We start from the raw sequence: 16,324 nt of genomic DNA, 5'->3' as shown, positions 1-16,324 counted from the left end.
CAAGTGGAGGTTACCTATAGCCACAGTGATGTGGGGATCTGGGTTGTTCTGGCTCAGGAGAGCCAATTGTGCACATGTCTTTTCAACTCTGTGTTCGGTGTCCTCATATTAGTAGCTTGAAATTGGCCACGGTTGGAATATTGATAGCATGGAAATTGGCAAAAGCTAGAAATCAGAGTCTGCCTTGCACCCACTGCCATGAGCCAATTATTAAACACTTAACAGCATATTATTGCATGTAGAAGGTGTGAATGCAGATCCGAAACACAGTGCAGGTAGGACCCAATAGGAGAGTCATCTGCATGATGGAGAGAGCTAAACCTTTGGGAGTGGCTAAGCTTACTGAGCACAAGGCAGAAAATAGCAAAGTAAACAAAACCAAATACTTGAGGAATATTCACAGTTTGGGATCAGTAGAGTAAGTGGATGGCAAAGGCTGGGAAGAGAGATGGGAGAGGTAGAAGAACAAGGAAGAAGCAGTGCTAGAGTAACTGGCCACCACTCACTACCTATGATAGTAGGGCTCTTGGAGAACATATCAAAAAAAGACCGTTTATCTTTGTTAATTATAAAACAAGAAGCCCTCATCCTCCTGAATAGGTAATTTGAATGGAAGGTGGAAAAAGAGACTCCCAGGATTCTGTGGACCTTCCAAACAGATCCAAAATTTGTCCCTCTGAGGCTTCCCTGGTACTACATGCTGTTTCAGTCAAGATCAAGGGGGATAGAATTTGGCAGCTGATATAAAGCCACCCAACACTAACAATTTAAAGCCCCCAAATTTTACATTATTTCTCTTTAACTCATAAGAAATCTAGCTGCTATTGTGGTTTAAAGCCTTAGGCTATATTCCTAGCTGAGAATTATAACAAGGGGAATTCCTCCTAAACAAGTAAACAAGAAGAATCTGTTGCCTAATCTCACATACTAGAGATCAGCTAATGCTTATACTAGCTTCAGTGGTCTTCTGGTTTCCAGGTAAGCCATACCTAACTCTAGTAAGGACTTTGCCCTCTTCCCATGGGATTCTTGAACTCATAAAAATTCTACTTCTTTTGTAGTCTAAAGACCCCAGAGTGCTTCTTCTGACTCTGGAGCTCACTTTTATCTCTGTCCAAGGCTAAATCCCGGTAAGGCCCCAGACACCCCAAATAAAAGTCTTTACTTGCATATCATGGACCCATACCGAAACCTGAGAGACCAGACGAAGCCATATTTAAAGCTCCAAACCCCAGTGCTAGTGAGGCTCACCACGAAATTTGGTCTCTTAACATAATGCTTTGGTCCACAAATAACACTCTTTGTGTTTATTTACTAAGTTTTCTGGGCCATGTTGAAGATTTTTGAGGCTAGTCTGTCTACCTGTCTACCCTGCTTGGCTCTAACCAATTGAGAACAAACACAAGGAATTAGATGTAGATCAATGTCTCCTCTTTAGTATTTGTATTAGTAACAATAACTAAAATTTATTAATGGTTTTCTAGATATTTATTTGTATCATATTACCTAATCTTTATACCTATGAGGTAAATATGATTAATATTTTCAATATAGAGAGGAAGAAATTTAGGGACAGAAATCTTGAACAGCTTATCCACAGTCACACAGTAGGTGGCAAAGCCAGGATGAAAACCCTAGTGGTCTAAGTCCACACATTCTACCATCTCTCTGCTTATATCTAAAAGACAAGATTCTCTGTTAAAGATCGACCCAAGGTTAAGGTTTAGGCATGAGACTTCTGACTACCCCAAATTAAAATTAGCTGTAGTCTTAGAAGCTGGAGAATGGAAGACCTCTTTTGCAATTGAGAGTCCTCACTCAGATGGTCTTACAAAATGGAGATCAGGAGCTGAAAAATGCTAGAAAGAAAAGAGACAGACCCGCATTTATTCTTTCAATGAAATGACACTACCTTCTGGTTAAGTTTGCCCATCCTGTCGTGGAGAGCAGCAAATGTAGAATTCTAGCTCAGTTCCCTCCTAGGCATTGGAGCCGTTGTCCCTCTCCTCCATGGACATAAGGAAGCAGGGAATGAGTATTCCTTGGAGCCATCAACATGGTGTTCAATCTTTTGCAAACCTGTGATGATAATATATGAAAAGTGGCTGGTATATAGTAGGTATTTGATGCAGGTTACATCCTGTTGACCCCAGTCTATTTAAATCGATCCAGTCTGCTTATACACATGCACAAGACAAGACATTTCTTCCCTGGCTTTCAGCATTTGTCTATCCCGACAGTCTATTAAAAGTTTTGACTTACAGTTCCTTAATCTCACCTATTGTGGTTTCTTGTTCTATCTCTCATTGAAGGAGATCAGATAATAAACAAAAAAAAAGTACTATAATGTCAGGTAAGTGACATTAAGAAAATAAAACATGGCAATGGGACAGAGAGTGGCTGATGGAATGGGCAACATTAGTAGAAAGGTCATCAAAGAAGGTCTCTCTGAGGAGGTGACATTTGAGCTGAAACCTGAGTGATGGGAAAGACTCATTCAGGCAAGCATATGGGAGAAGAGAACCCCAGACGGAAGTAAGGTACAAAGGCTCTAAGCCTGGAATGAGTGGACAGGTCTATGGAACAGAAAGAAAGCCATTGTGAATGGAGCAGGCGTGAGTACATGATTTGAAGATGGAGAAGCAAGCAGAGTTCAGATCACTCAGGGTCTCATGGACCATGATAGGAAGCTTAAATTTGATTCCAAGGAAAGTGGGAAGTTCCTGTTGGGATTATCACTCTGGTTTCTGAAATTTGCCTCCGAGCCTTCTTGTTTCCTGGCATTCTGCTTCTTCCTGTAGCAAACCCTGCCCGGGTTTCACTGGCCCAGAGAAGTGATTAGCTCCCCAGTGACCTAGAACCATCCTTTCTGTGTGATCACTGCCACTCCCCAATTTCACCTCTCCCTCTCCTGGCTCTAAGGGAGAATTCCTTGTTGCTCTCAACAGAGGGACATATACAGAATTTGTGGATCTGGTAAGAAAACGGATCCCCCTTAAATGAAAGGCCACATGAATCTTCCCAGTGTAGGTAAGTGTAATTCTTGCAGCAGCACCCCTCAGACAGATGCATGAAGGTGTAAGCTGCCAAGGTTGGGAAAAGTCCCCAGGAAGGCCTCCATCTCAGAGGTAATTCATGGGAGATATATGAAATATCACTGATTTCCACATATGCTTCATGAGATATCAGGATGATGGAAGCTGTTGGTGTCTAATAAGAAATTTTGAAAAAGGCAAGCTAGATACAAATCAGAGATTTCTCAACATCTTCAGCTGGGTCCAAAGGACAAACACTATGTGTGGTGACTCTGAGTCCTTAGAAAGGTGATCTCTATAGTGCAGTATGGAATTTTTGAGGATCTAGTGGAGTGGGATAAAATTCCCCATAGAACTCTCCAGTTCCCTCTTCTCAGATTTTATGTGCACAAAACTGCCTTCTTATTGCCAAAAACAACCACTTCCATTTGTACTATACTCTCCAGCTCATGAAAGTGATTTCAAATATACAAAACAATGCTAAGTGATCAATATTCTCTTTTATACAGGTAAGAAAACCAAGGTCCAAAGAATTAAGTTACATGAATCCTTGAACCTAGGTTTATATGGATGCAGTTCATCTTCATTTTCACTTCTATAGAGTTGCTTTATGTGTTCAGTTTCTTTCCTGAAGAACTAAATAGTGGGCCCAAGTATTCTCGTTGTTGGATAGATTCATCCCACCATCATGTATGAATATCTTGGAGGTCCAGGTTATGTCTGTTTATTGTGAGTTTTGCTATTGTATCAGTGCCCGGAGGCTGGGAAAATTGACAGAAGCAAGATCTTGTAAGGTAGAATGCCAGAACTTGGATTGTGGTGACTCTACCTAAATGCAGACACCCTCAAAAGGCCTGGCTGGGAAATCGTCTGCTGACCTTTTCCAAGCTGTCTTAACTGCAAGATCACTCAACTGTTTCCACTTTGTTTTGAAGCTGCTTAAAAAAGAGCAAACAACTCTAATCTCTCTTAGCCAGTTTTCCAGCTGAAGACACAGAATAGCATGGGGAGCTGATTAAAATGAGATGGTACTTTAAAAACCAGGAGCCAATTGACCTTAACTGTGTTTCTTTCTGCTTTTATATGTTGTTGTTGAAACTGCAGGTAAGTGATTTGCTGGCCCCGGCTCTAGAGAGGTTTTATATATTGTTCGTGTGTTCATAATTATCACCCATTTTCCTTTCATACTTCTTAGGTAGGGAAATAATTACTGCTTTGGGCTCCGGCTTTTGGGGTATTATGATGTGAGTCACTAAAAAGCCTAGCCTGTCTGTCCTTTTTTCTTCCTTCCTTCCTTTCTCCTTTTAATGTCTCTTTGTTTAGAAGAAAGAAATCAATTTTTGAATGGATTTCAAATTGCATTTGAATTTGGAAAATTAAAACAGATGAACAGCAAAATACCATTATTTTTAGAGCTCATAAGACAAAGCCTGGCTGGCTTGGGGTTTTGACTGTTGGTTCTTATAACAAATGGCTCCTTTAAGATGGCACCAAAGTCAATACTAATGGTTATTATGATTAAGTACAGCTCCCTTGGTGTCCGTTTCCTGCTCTTTGGCATTCCTCCCCTCTCTCCAATGCACATACATGGTTTTTGTAAAGTTAAGTGTCTCTGATATACACACAGGCCAAGTAGAGAAAGTTTGTAGCTGACCCCTCCACCTCCCTTTCTATGTCTTCCCTCTGCCTAACAACTTGACTTCCCCTAGGCCTCACCAGGGCGCCCCCCCACCCACACCATGTAGTTGCCCCTCTTCTGGCCTGAATTTACTCTCTAGAAGTCTTGCAAGCTTAAGGCATCTCAAGATTGTCTTCCCATCACCCCTTTCCTCAAATTGCCTAGCCCGGGCCCTGCTGTCAGCTAAGTCAATGCTAAGACAGCTGATATGGTTTGGCTCTGTGCCCCCACCCGAATCTCATCTTGAATTATAATCCCCACGTGTTGAGGGAGGGACCTGTAATCCCCACAAGTCAAGGGAGGGAAATGATTGGATTATGGGGGTGGTTTCCCCCATGCTGTTCTTGTGACAGTGAGTGAATTCTCACGAGATCTCATGGTTTTAAAAGTGGTAGCTTTTTCCTGCACTCTCACGTCTCTCTCCTGCCACTTTGTGAAGAAGGTGCCTGCTTCTGCTTTGCCTTCTGCCATGATTGTAAGTTTCCCGAGCTCTCCCCAGCCATGCAGAACTGTGAGTCAATTAAACCTCTTTCCTTTATAAATTACCCAGTCTTGGATATTTCTTTATAGCAGTGTGAGACTGGACTAATACAACAGGTGAATGATAAGGTCAAATGCCCATATTAAAGGTACACAATAGTTTTCAATGTAGTATGTGTCTTCCATAGCATTGATCCAAAGGTGTGACTGATGGTACAGTTTTCAGGTGCTTCTAGGGCATCCTAGAGACAAAGCACGGGTACTATTTCAGGCATCTTTCATAATACCAAAATAATTCATGTCTGTTCAGGACTCTACCAAATACTTTTTCATTAATTATTTTATTTCCCCCCCCTAAGAAGCACTGTGAGGTGGGTGATATTAATTCAGATAAGAATGAGAAAAATGAGGCTCAGAGAGGTTAAGTGATTTGTCTGACATCACACAGCTAGGAAATGACCACACTACAACTGGAGCCCAGCTCAGCTGACTTGAAATTCTCTGTGTTTTCTGCTCTGTCACATGGTCTTATAATACTTTATTCCAAGAATTTTTGGAGTACTAGCTGTGCCAAGTCCTGTGCGGGATATAGTAGGTGAGTGAAACAGGCATGGATGGCCTTGTCTTCACTGGAGTTTATTGAACTCTAAGTATGGTGATACAGACAAAATGAGTTAATAAATATATCTTTAAAATTACAAATTATGGGAAATGCTGTGAAAGCAAGTGGAAATGAGGAATGTTGGTAAGGGAGCTTTTCTTTTTTTATTATTATTGTTATTATACTTTAAGTTTTAGGGTACATGTGCACAATGTGCAGGTTAGTTACATATGTATACATGTGACATGCTGGTGTGCTGCACCCACTAACTCGTCAACTAGCATTAGGTATATGTCCCAATGCTATCCCTCCCCCCTCCCCCCACCCCACAGCAGTCCCCAGAGTGTGATGTTCCCCTTCCTGTGTCCGTGTGTTCTCATTGTTCAATTCCCACCTATGAGTGAGAATATGTGGTGTTTGGTTTTTTGTTCTTGCGATAGTTTACTGAGAATGATGATTTCCAACTTCATCCATGTCCCTACAAAGGACATGAACTCATCATTTTTTATGGCTGCATAGTATTCCATGGTGTATATGTGCCACATTTTCTTTTTTTTTTTTTTGAGGTATGTCCATAGTAGTATATTAAACAAAAATTAATAAACACTTGGATGTTATCAGAGCAGCAGGATTTAAAACTTCTTTTTTTAAATTTTTTTTATTATACTTTAAGTTTTAGGGTACATGTGCACATTGTGCAGGTTAGTTAAATATGTATACATGCGCCATGCTGGTGTGCTACACCCACAAACTCGTCATCTAGCATTAGGTATATCTCCCGATGCTATCCCTCCCCCCTCCCCCCACCCCACAACAGTCCCCAGAGTGTGATATTCCCCGTCCTGTGTCCATGTGATCTCATTGTTCAATTCCCACCTATGAGTGAGGATATGCGGTGTTTGGTTTTTTGTTCTTGCGATAGTTTACTGAGAATGATGATTTCCAATTTCATCCATGTCCCTACAAAGGACATGAACCCATCATTTTTTATGGCTGCATAGTATTCCATGGTGTATATGTGCCACATTTTCTTAATCCAGTCTATCATTGTTGGACATTTGGGTTGGTTCCAACTCTTTGCTATTGTGAATAATGCTGCAATAAACATACGTGTCATGTGTCTTTATAGCAGCATGATTTATAGTCCTTTGGGTATATACCCAGTAATGGGATGGCTGGGTCAAATGGTATTTCCAGTTCTAGATCCCTGAGGAATCGCCACACTGCCTTCCACAATGGTTGAACTAGTTTACAGTCCCACCAACAGTGTAAAAGTGTTCCTATTTCTCCACATCCTCTCCAGCACCTGTTGTTTCCTGACCTTTTAATGATTGCCATTCTAACTGGTGTGAGATGGTATCTCATTGTGGTTTTGATTTGCATTTCTCTGATGGCCAGTGATGATGAGCATTTTTTCATGTGTCTTTTGGCTGCATAAATGTCTTCTTTTGAGAAGTGTCTGTTCATGTCCTTCACCCACTTTTTGATGGGGTTGTTTGTTTTCTCCTTGTAAATTTGTTTGAGTTCATTGTAGATTCTGGGTATTAGCCCTTTGTCAGATGAATAGGTTGCGAAAATTTTCTCCCATTTTCTAGGTTGCCTGTTTACTCTGATGGTAGTTTCTTTTGCTGTGCAGAAGCTCTTGAGTTTAATTAGATCCCATTTGTCAGTTTTGTCTTTTGTTGCCATTGCTTTTGGTGTTTTAGACGTGAAGTCCTTGCCCATGCCTATGTCCTGAATGGTAATGCCTAGGTTTTCTTCTAGGGTTTTTATGGTTTTAGGTCTAACGTTTAACTCTTTAATCCATCTTGAATTGATTTTTGTATAAGGTGTAAGGAAGGGATCCAGTTTCAGCTTTCTACATATGGCTAGCCAGTTTTCCCAGCACCATTTATTAAATAGGGAATCCTTTCCCCATTGCTTGTTTTTCTCAGGTTTGTCAAAGATCAGATAGTTGTAGATATGCGGCGTTATTTCTGAGGGCTCTGTTCTGTTCCATTGATCTATATCTCTGTTTTGGTACCAGTACCATGCTGTTTTGGTTACTGTAGCCTTGTAGTATAGTTTGAAGTCAGGTAGTGTGATGCCTCCAGCTTTGTTCTTTTGGCTTAGGATTGACTTGGTGATGCGGGCTCTTTTTTGGTTCCATATGAACTTTAAAGTAGTTTTTTCCAAATCCGTGAAGAAAGGCATTGGTAGCTTGATGGGGATGGCATTGAATCTGTAAATTACCTTGGGCAGTATGGCCATTTTCACGATATTGATTCTTCCTACCCATGAGCATGGAATGTTCTTCCATTTGTTTGTATCCTCTTTTATTTCCTTGAGCAGTGGTTTGTAGTTCTCCTTGAAGAGGTCCTTCACATCCCTTGTAAGTTGGATTCCTAGGTATTTTATTCTCTTTGAAGCAATTGTGAATGGGAGTTCACTCATGATTTGGCTCTCTGTTTGTCTGTTGTTGGTGTATAAGAATGCTTGTGATTTTTGTACATTGATTTTGTATCCTGAGCCTTTGCTGAAGTTGCTTATCAGCTTAAGGAGATTTTGGGCTGAGACAATGGGGTTTTCTAGCTATACAATCATGTCGTCTGCAAACAGGGACAATTTGACTTCCTCTTTTCCTAATTGAATACCCTTTATTTCCTTCTCCTGCCTGATTGCCCTGGCCAGAACTTCCAACACTATGTTGAATAGGAGTGGTGAGAGAGGGCATCCCTGTCTTGTGCCAGTTTTCAAAGGGAATGCTTCCAGTTTTTGCCCATTCAGTATGATATTGGCTGTGGGTTTGTCATAGATAGCTCTTATTATTTTGAAATACGTCCCATCAATACCTAATTTATTGAGAGTTTTTAGCATGAAGGGTTGTTGAATTTAGTCAAAGGCCTTTTCTGCATCTATTGAGATAATCATGTGGTTTTTGTCTTTGGTTCTGTTTATATGCTGCATTACATTTATTGATTTGCATATATTGAGCCAGCCTTGCATCTCAGGGATGAAGCCCACTTGATCATGGTGGATAAGCTTTTTGATGTGCTGCTGGATTCGTTTTGCCAGTATTTTATTGAGGATTTTTGCATCAATGTTCATCAAGGATATTGGTCTAAAATTCTCTTTTTTGGTTGTGTCTCTGCCAGGCTTTGGTATCACGATGATGCTGGCCTCATAAAATGAGTTAGGGAGGATTCCCTCTTTTTCTATTGATTGGAATAGTTTCAGAAGGAATGGTACCTGTTCCTCCTTGTACCTCTGGTAGAATTCGGCTGTGAATCCATCTGGTCCTGGACTCTTTTTGGTTGGTAAGCTATTGATTATTGCCACAATTTCAGATCCTGTTATTGGTCTATTCAGAGATTCAACTTCTTCCTGGTTTAGTCTTGGGAGAGTGTATGTGTTGAGGAATTTATCCATTTCTTCTAGATTTTCTAATTTATTTGCGAAGAGGTGTTTGTAGTATTCCCTGATGGTAGTTTGTATTTCTGTGGGATCGGTGGTGATATCCCCTTTATCATTTTTTATTGCATCTATTTGATTCTTCTCTCTTTTCTTCTTTATTAGTCTTGCTAGTGGTCTATCAATTTTGTTGATCCTTTCAAAAAACCAGCTCCTGGATTCATTAATTTTTTGGAGGGTTTTTTGTGTCTCTATTTCCTTCAATTCTGCTCTGATTTTAGTTATTTCTTGCCTTCTGCTAGCTTTTGAATGTGTTTGCTCTTGCTTTTCTAGTTCTTTTAATTGTGATGTTAGGGTGTCAGTTTTGGATCTTTCCTGCTTTCTCTTGTGGGCATTTAGTGCTATAAATTTCCCTCTACACACTGCTTTGAATGTGTCCCAGAGATTCTGGTATGTTGTGTCTTTGTTCTTGTTGGTTTCAAAGAACATCTTTATTTCTGCCTTCATTTCGTTATGTACCCAGTAGTCATTCAGGAGCAGGTTGTTCAGTTTCCATATAGTTGAGCGGTTTTGAGTGAGTTTCTTAATCCTGAGTTCTAGTTTGATTGCACTGTGGTCTGAGAGATAGTTTGTTATAATTTCTGTTCTTTTACATTTGCTGAGGAGAGCTTTACTTCCAAGTATGTGGTCAATTTTGGAATAGGTGTGGTGTGGTGCTGAAAAAAATGTATATTCTGTTGATTTGGGGTGGAGAGTTCTGTAGATGTCTATTAGGTCCGCTTGGTGCAGAGCTGAGTTCAATTCCTGGGTATCCTTGTTGACTTTCTGTCTCATTGATCTGTCTAATGTTGACAGTGGGGTGTTAAAGTCTCCCATTATTAATGTGTGGGAGTCTAAGTCTCTTTGTAGGTCACTCAGGACTTGCTTTTATGAATCTGGGTCCTCCTGTATTGGGTGCATATATATTTAGGATAGTTAGCTCTTCTTGTTGAATTGATCCTTTTACCATTATGTAATGGCCTTCTTTGTCTCTTTTGATCTTTGTTGGTTTAAAGTCTGTTTTATCAGAGACTAGGATTGCAACCCCTGCCTTTTTTTGTTTTCCATTTGCTTGGTAGATCTTCCTCCATCCTTTTATTTTGAGCCTATATGTGTCTCTGCATGTGAGATGGGTTTCCTGAATAGAACACACTGATGGGTCTTGACTCTTTATCCAATTTGCCAGTCTGTGTCTTTTAATTGGAGCATTTAGTCCATTTACATTTAAAGTTAATATTGTTATGTGTGAATTTGATCCTGTCATTATGATATTAGCTGCTTATTTTGCTCGTTAGTTGATGCAGTTTCTTCCTAGTCTCAATGGTCTTTACATTTTGGCATGATTTTGCAGTGGCTGGTACTGGTTGTTCCTTTCCATGTTTAGTGCTTCCTTCAGGAGCTCTTTTAGGGCAGGCCTGGTGGTGACAAAATCTCTCAGCATTTGCTTGTCTGTAAAGTATTTTATTTCTCCTTCACTTATGAAGCTTAGTTTGGCTGGATATGAAATTCTGGGTTGAAAATTCTTTTCTTTAAGAATGTTGAATATTGGCCCCCACTCTCTTCTGGCTTGTAGAGTTTCTGCCGAGAGATCTGCTGTTAGTCTGATGGGCTTCCCTTTGAGGGTAACCCGACCTTTCTCTCTGGCTGCCCTTAACATTTTTTCCTTCATTTCCACTTTGGTGAATCTGACAATTATGTGTCTTGGAGTTGCTCTTCTCGAGGAGTATCTTTGTGGCGTTCTCTGTATTTCCTGAATCTGAATGTTGGCCTGCCTTGCTAGATTGGGTAAGTTCTCCTGGATAATATCCTGCAGGTTCTCCTGGATAATATCCTGCAGAGTGTTTTCCACCTTGGTTCCATTCTCCCCATCCCTTTCAGGTACACCAATCAGACGTAGATTTGGTCTTTTCACATAGTCCCATATTTCTTGGAGGCTTTGTTTGTTTCTTTTTATTCTTTTTCCTCTAAACTTCCCTTCTCTCTTCATTTCATCATTTCATCTTCCATCGCTGATACCCTTTCTTGCAGTTGATCGCGTCGGCTCCTGAGGCTTGTGCATTCTTCACGTAGTTCTCGAGCCTTGGCTTTCAGCTCCATCAGCTCCTTTAAGCACTTCTCTGTATTGGTTATTCTAGTTATACATTCGTCTAAATTTTTTTCAAAGTTTTTCACTTCTTTGCCTTTGGTTTGAATTTCCTCCTATAGCTTGTAGTTTGATCGTCTGAAGCCTTCTTCTCTCAACTCGTCAAAGTCATTCTCCGTCCAGCTTTGTTCCATTGCTGGTGAGGACCTGCATTCCTTTGGAGGAGGAGAGGCACTCTGCTGTTTAGAGTTTCCAGTTTTTCTGCTCTGTTTTTTCCCCATCTTTGTGGTTTTATCTACTTTTGGTCTTTCATCATGGTGATGTACAGATGGGTTTTTGGTGTGGATGTCCTTTCTGTTTGTTAGTTTTCCTTCTAACAGACAGGACCCTCAGCTGCAGGTCTGTTGGAGTTTGCTAGAGGTCCACTCCAGACCCTGTTTGCCTGGGTATCAGCAGCGGTGTCTGCAGAACCGTGGTTTTTCGTGAACCGTGAATGCTGCTGTCTGCTCATTCCTCTGGAAGTTTTGTCTCAGAGGAGTACCCGGCCGTGTGACGTGTCAGTCTGCCCCTACTGGGGGGTGCCTCCCAGTTAGGCTGCTCAGGGGTCAGGGGTCAGGGACCCACTTGAGGAGGCAGTCTGCCTGTTCTCAGATCTCCAGCTGCATGCTGGGAGAACCACTGCTCTCTTCAAAGCTGTCAGACAGGGACATTTAAGTCTGCAGAGGTTACTGCTGTCTTTTTGTTTGTCTGTGCCCTGCCCCCAGAGGTGGATCCTACAGAGGCAGGCAGGCCTCCTTGAGCTGTGGTTTGCTCCACCCAGTTGGAGCTTCCCAGCTGCTTTGTTTACCTAAGCAAGCCTGGGCAATGGCAGACGCCCCTCCCCCAGCCTCACTGCCGCCTTGCAGTTTGATCTCAGACTGCTGTGCTAGCAATCAGCGAGACTCCGTGGGTGTAGGACCCTCCAAGCCAGGTGCAGGATATAATCTCCTGGTGCGCCGTTTTTTAAGCCTGTCGGAAAAGCGCAGTATTCGGGTGGGAGTGACCCGATTTTCCAGGTGCCGTCTGTCACCCCTTTCTTTGACTAGGAAAGGGAACTTCCTGATCCCTTGCACTTCCCGGGTGAGGGGATGCCTCGTCCTGCTTCGGCTTGCGCAGGGTGCGCTGCACCCACTGACTTGCGCCCACTGTCTGGCACTAAGGGAGCTTTTCTTATAGATCTCTTGGAGATGGTGACATTTAGGCTGAGGCCTGAAAACTGAGAAGGACCTAGTAATGAGGGGTGGGAGGAAGAGACCAGACCAGGTAGAGGATGTACAAAAGTCCTCGAGGCATGTTCGCAGTACACAGATCGTTGCCTATCCCACTTACTTCATGTGCTTGGGAGCCATGTTCTGTACACACAGATCCTCATGATGCTTGAGGAGGTCTTATCAGGACTTGTCACACTATCATGCCAGTCATATACAAAAACTCTCTTACAAAATGTGTTCATTTCCTTCTTGCTATAGGAAGGCCCTTAGAAACCAGGCGATTCTTCAAGAGAACTTTGCATGGTTTCTGTGGAAGGTGGGCATTTCTCTCCAAGCTATGCTTCTAGCTTCACCTGTAATATTCACAAATATTGTGACCCAAGTATAGGATTGTGGATGGCTCAGCCAAACCCATCCCCACTGCTGGAGACACAGCTCACAGGGGCCACACTGATAAGAGACCACCATGATGTGCCCAGGTGGAGCTTTGTGTGTGAAAAACAGCATAGTGAGCAATAGGTTGTGTGTCTTGGGTTTGCAAGAAAAGAGGATTTGGGCATCTTTTGCCAAGGGTTTCCATCACACTCTGATGATGCATACTTTGCAATTAGTAAGTGTTCCAAAAAAGTCTTAATAATGTAAGGATCTTAGGTTAAGCTGTCTACCTGACTCACTGCTAGTCTTCAGTTCTAGATGTTTCTAAACCAAACGTTTATTTAAGTAAGCCCTAGCCGTGTGCCCCTTTTTATACTAGGCCTTGAAGTAAATGCAGAAGTATCACCATCACAGTCCCTGCCTTTGAGGAGACTGCAGTCTGCAGGAGGAGACAAAACATAAATATGTTTAACAATTACAAAGGGGCCCCACCCCCGATGACGCCAGGTGCCAAGTGCATGGGGATTCCCGCAGCCCTGGCTCCTATGCGGCCTGCCCCACAGCGAGATGGTGGCCTGAACGCAGCTGGCAGTGGTAGAAAGAGCTGTTGGCTAAAGGAAGTGGAGGGGCCGTGGGATGCGGAGAGCTGGGGGCTAACTCCCGGATGGTGGAACAGAGAGAGCTGCTGACAACAGTCGCAGGTGGAGGAGGTGTCACCTCCCAGAATAACCAGTGCAGCCCCTGCTAAGAAACCCTACCGTAAGGCACCACCAGAGCATTGGGAGCTGCGACTGGAAATTCCTGGATCCAGGTTTGAGCAGGAGGAATCCCTGACTGACTTGGAAAGGATGAAGCTCTCGCAGCAGGATAATGAAGAGCTTTGTCGGTGCCTGGCCTCGGCCACGAGATGCACTGAGGTCCTGGAATGTAAGCTGGAAATTGGGCAGGACTGCCTAGAGCTGGAGCTGCGCCAGAGCCGCAAGGAGCTGGACAAGTTTTAAGGATAAGTTCTGCAGGCTGCAGAACAGCTACATGGCTTCCCAGCAGACCAACCAGGAGTTGGAGGACAAGCTGCACACACTGCTCAAGAAGGCTGAGATGGATAGGCAGACGCTGGACTGGGAGATCGTGGAGCTGACCAACAAGCTGCTGGATGCCAAGAACACCATCAACAAGCTGGAGGAGCTCAGCGAGCGGTACCAGGGGGATTGCAACCTGGCTGTGCAGCTCCTCAAGTGCAGCCAGTCCCACTTCCGAAACTATGAGTTCTCCGATCTGTCCTGTGAGCTACACGACATGGTTCAGAAACATCTGCATAGTGGACAAGAGGCCGCCAGCCCGGGTCCTGCTCCCAGCCTAGCCCCAGCGGCTGTTGTGCCTACTTTGGTCATTGCCCGAGTGTTAGAGAAGCCAGAGTCTCTACTGCTGAATTCAGCCCGGTCAGGCAGCGCTGGGCACCCTATGGCTGAAGATGTCTTTGTGCATGTGGACATCAGTGAGGGTGCCCCAGGCGATCCAGCCAGTCCCCCGGCCCCTGGCAGCCCCACCCCCCAACCCAATGGGGAGTGTCACTCTCTGGATACTGCTGGGGGCTCCCCAGAGGAAGAGCTGCCCCTGCCAGCCTTTGAGAAGCTGAGCCCCTACCCCACCCCATCTCCACCACTCCCACTGTATCCTGGCTGCAGGGTAATAGAGTTCTCCAAGGATAAAGTTTGGATCCCCTGCAACAGCCCCCTGCCCAACTGCACTTACACCACCCGCCAGGCCATTTCGCTGAGCCTGGTGGGGGAAGGGAGTGAGTGGGCCTGCCCCAGCCCAGTGCTCAGTGCCCCTGCCTCAGCCTAGGCCTCACTCAACCACCAGCCCAGCTCAGTGCTCCCAACACTCAGTGCCCCAGCCAGGTCTGTTAGCTCTGAAAAGGACCTGCTGGTCAGCTGGCAGTGGGCATTTGTGGACCATACTCTGCCACCTGCTGCTGTGGCCCAGGTCACAGCCTTTAAGAGTGACACCCTCCCTGAGCTGCAGCACCGTTTTGCCCATAACTCCGCTGACAGAGATTAGGTGGTCCAGGCACCTTCTCCCCGAACCAAAGAGAGTGGGCTTTTGCTTCCCACAGAACCTGACTCTGGCTTTCCCAGGGAGGAGGAAGAAGAGCTGAACCTGCCCATCCGCCCTGAGGAAGAGCGCCAGAGCCTGCTGCTCATTAACAGTGTCACAGAGGAGGGTCCTGGCACTTCCCACACTGAGCGCAGGGCCTGGCCACTCCCCAGCTCCAGCCACCCCCAGTGCAGCCCCAAAAGAATGGGGGTTCACCACCTGCACTGCAAGGACAGCCTGACGCAGGCCCAGCAGCAGGGCAACCAGCTCTACTAGGGCCTCTGCTGGCCTTCCTGCCATTGCTGCACCGGGACTGCAAGGAGGCCCCACACCTTGGCAGCTCAGGGTCCCCAGTCCAAGCCCTTGACCTCTTCTCTATCCAGACCTGCACAGCTGTTCCCTGTGTGAGTGGGGTTGGGCGGTGGGCTGCACCAGGCCTGTCAGCTGCGTTGACTGTGACACAGAGGCTTGCCTCATGGTTTTCCCCTTTTCTTAGAATACTTATTCTCCAGAGGTAACATGCAGTTGGGTCTCAAGAGCTTTCCTCCAATCAGCCCAACCCAGCCCAAACTGAGCTGTTCTGGGGAGCTGAGGAGTTTATCAGTATTCATCTTCCATCCTCCTTTCATAGTCAAGTTTGTTATTTTGTTTTCTTGGGGGTGGGTGTTGTTGGAGTTATTAACCTCTAATTTCTGTTTCTTACCTGTCTCCCTTCCCCCCAATTCTTTGCATGGGCTGTTGGCCTCAAGGGGCCTTGGCACAGCTGGCCTCAGGGAGGAGGGAGAGGACTGACTGAGGGCTCTCCTCAGCTGTTTCTTCCCTCCCTCTGGAAGGGAAGGTGGGGTTCAGGGTCCTCAAGCTGGGCTCTGGGTGAGGCCTGCCCCCCTCCCCCCAACCTTGGCTCTAGACTGTTACTCCCAGCTTTAGGAAATTTTACTTTTTTTTTTTTTCCTTGAGATGGAGTCTCGCTGTTTCGCCCAGGCTGGAGTGCGGTGGTGCAAACTTGGCTCACTGCAAGCGCCGCCTCCCGGGTTCATGCCATTCTCCTGCCTCAGCCTCCTGAGTAGCTGGGACTACAGGTGCCCGCCACCACTCCCGGCTACTTTTTTTGTTCTTTTTTTTAGTAGAGACAGGGTTTCACCGTGTTAGCCAGGATGGTCTCCATCTCCTGACCTCGTGATCCACCCACCTCGGCCTCTCAAAGTGCTGGGATTACAGGTGTGAGCCACCGTGCCTGGCCGAAATTTTCACATTGATGACTATTTTAAAATCAAACTATTTTGCTGGTTTAAAAAA

At 44.5% G+C, this 16,324-nt stretch overlaps 1 long non-coding RNA gene and 1 pseudogene across 11 annotated transcripts in view, besides 4 other annotated features; both read left to right on the top strand.

Annotated features, from left to right (window-relative positions):
* LOC124905213 (uncharacterized) overlaps nucleotides 1-16,324 on the top strand; it is a 275,363-nt gene that overhangs the window by 129,593 nt on the left and 129,446 nt on the right. The gene's annotated exons all lie outside the window — the stretch shown is intronic.
* Nucleotides 11,673-12,172: an enhancer, noted in NCBI's record as "H3K4me1 hESC enhancer chrX:128178645-128179144 (GRCh37/hg19 assembly coordinates)". NCBI's record gives its function as "activates a minimal SCP1, AML or CMV promoter by ChIP-STARR-seq in naive H9 embryonic stem cells {active_cell/tissue: H9 hESC(naive)}" and the evidence as "EXISTENCE:reporter gene assay evidence [ECO:0000049][PMID:30033119]".
* Nucleotides 12,173-12,674: an enhancer, noted in NCBI's record as "H3K4me1 hESC enhancer chrX:128178143-128178644 (GRCh37/hg19 assembly coordinates)". NCBI's record gives its function as "activates a minimal SCP1, AML or CMV promoter by ChIP-STARR-seq in naive H9 embryonic stem cells {active_cell/tissue: H9 hESC(naive)}" and the evidence as "EXISTENCE:reporter gene assay evidence [ECO:0000049][PMID:30033119]".
* Nucleotides 12,983-13,482: an enhancer, noted in NCBI's record as "H3K4me1 hESC enhancer chrX:128177335-128177834 (GRCh37/hg19 assembly coordinates)". NCBI's record gives its function as "activates a minimal SCP1, AML or CMV promoter by ChIP-STARR-seq in naive H9 embryonic stem cells {active_cell/tissue: H9 hESC(naive)}" and the evidence as "EXISTENCE:reporter gene assay evidence [ECO:0000049][PMID:30033119]".
* TJAP1P1 (TJAP1 pseudogene 1) lies at nucleotides 13,428-16,316 on the top strand (annotated as a pseudogene).
* Nucleotides 13,483-13,984: an enhancer, noted in NCBI's record as "H3K4me1 hESC enhancer chrX:128176833-128177334 (GRCh37/hg19 assembly coordinates)". NCBI's record gives its function as "activates a minimal SCP1, AML or CMV promoter by ChIP-STARR-seq in naive H9 embryonic stem cells {active_cell/tissue: H9 hESC(naive)}" and the evidence as "EXISTENCE:reporter gene assay evidence [ECO:0000049][PMID:30033119]".

The sequence above is a fragment of the Homo sapiens genome, chromosome X, assembly GCF_000001405.40.
Source record: "Homo sapiens chromosome X, GRCh38.p14 Primary Assembly".
NCBI lineage: Eukaryota > Metazoa > Chordata > Mammalia > Primates > Hominidae > Homo > Homo sapiens.
Note: the sequence above shows the minus strand (reverse complement) of the source record. Positions and strands in the feature narration are given on the sequence as shown.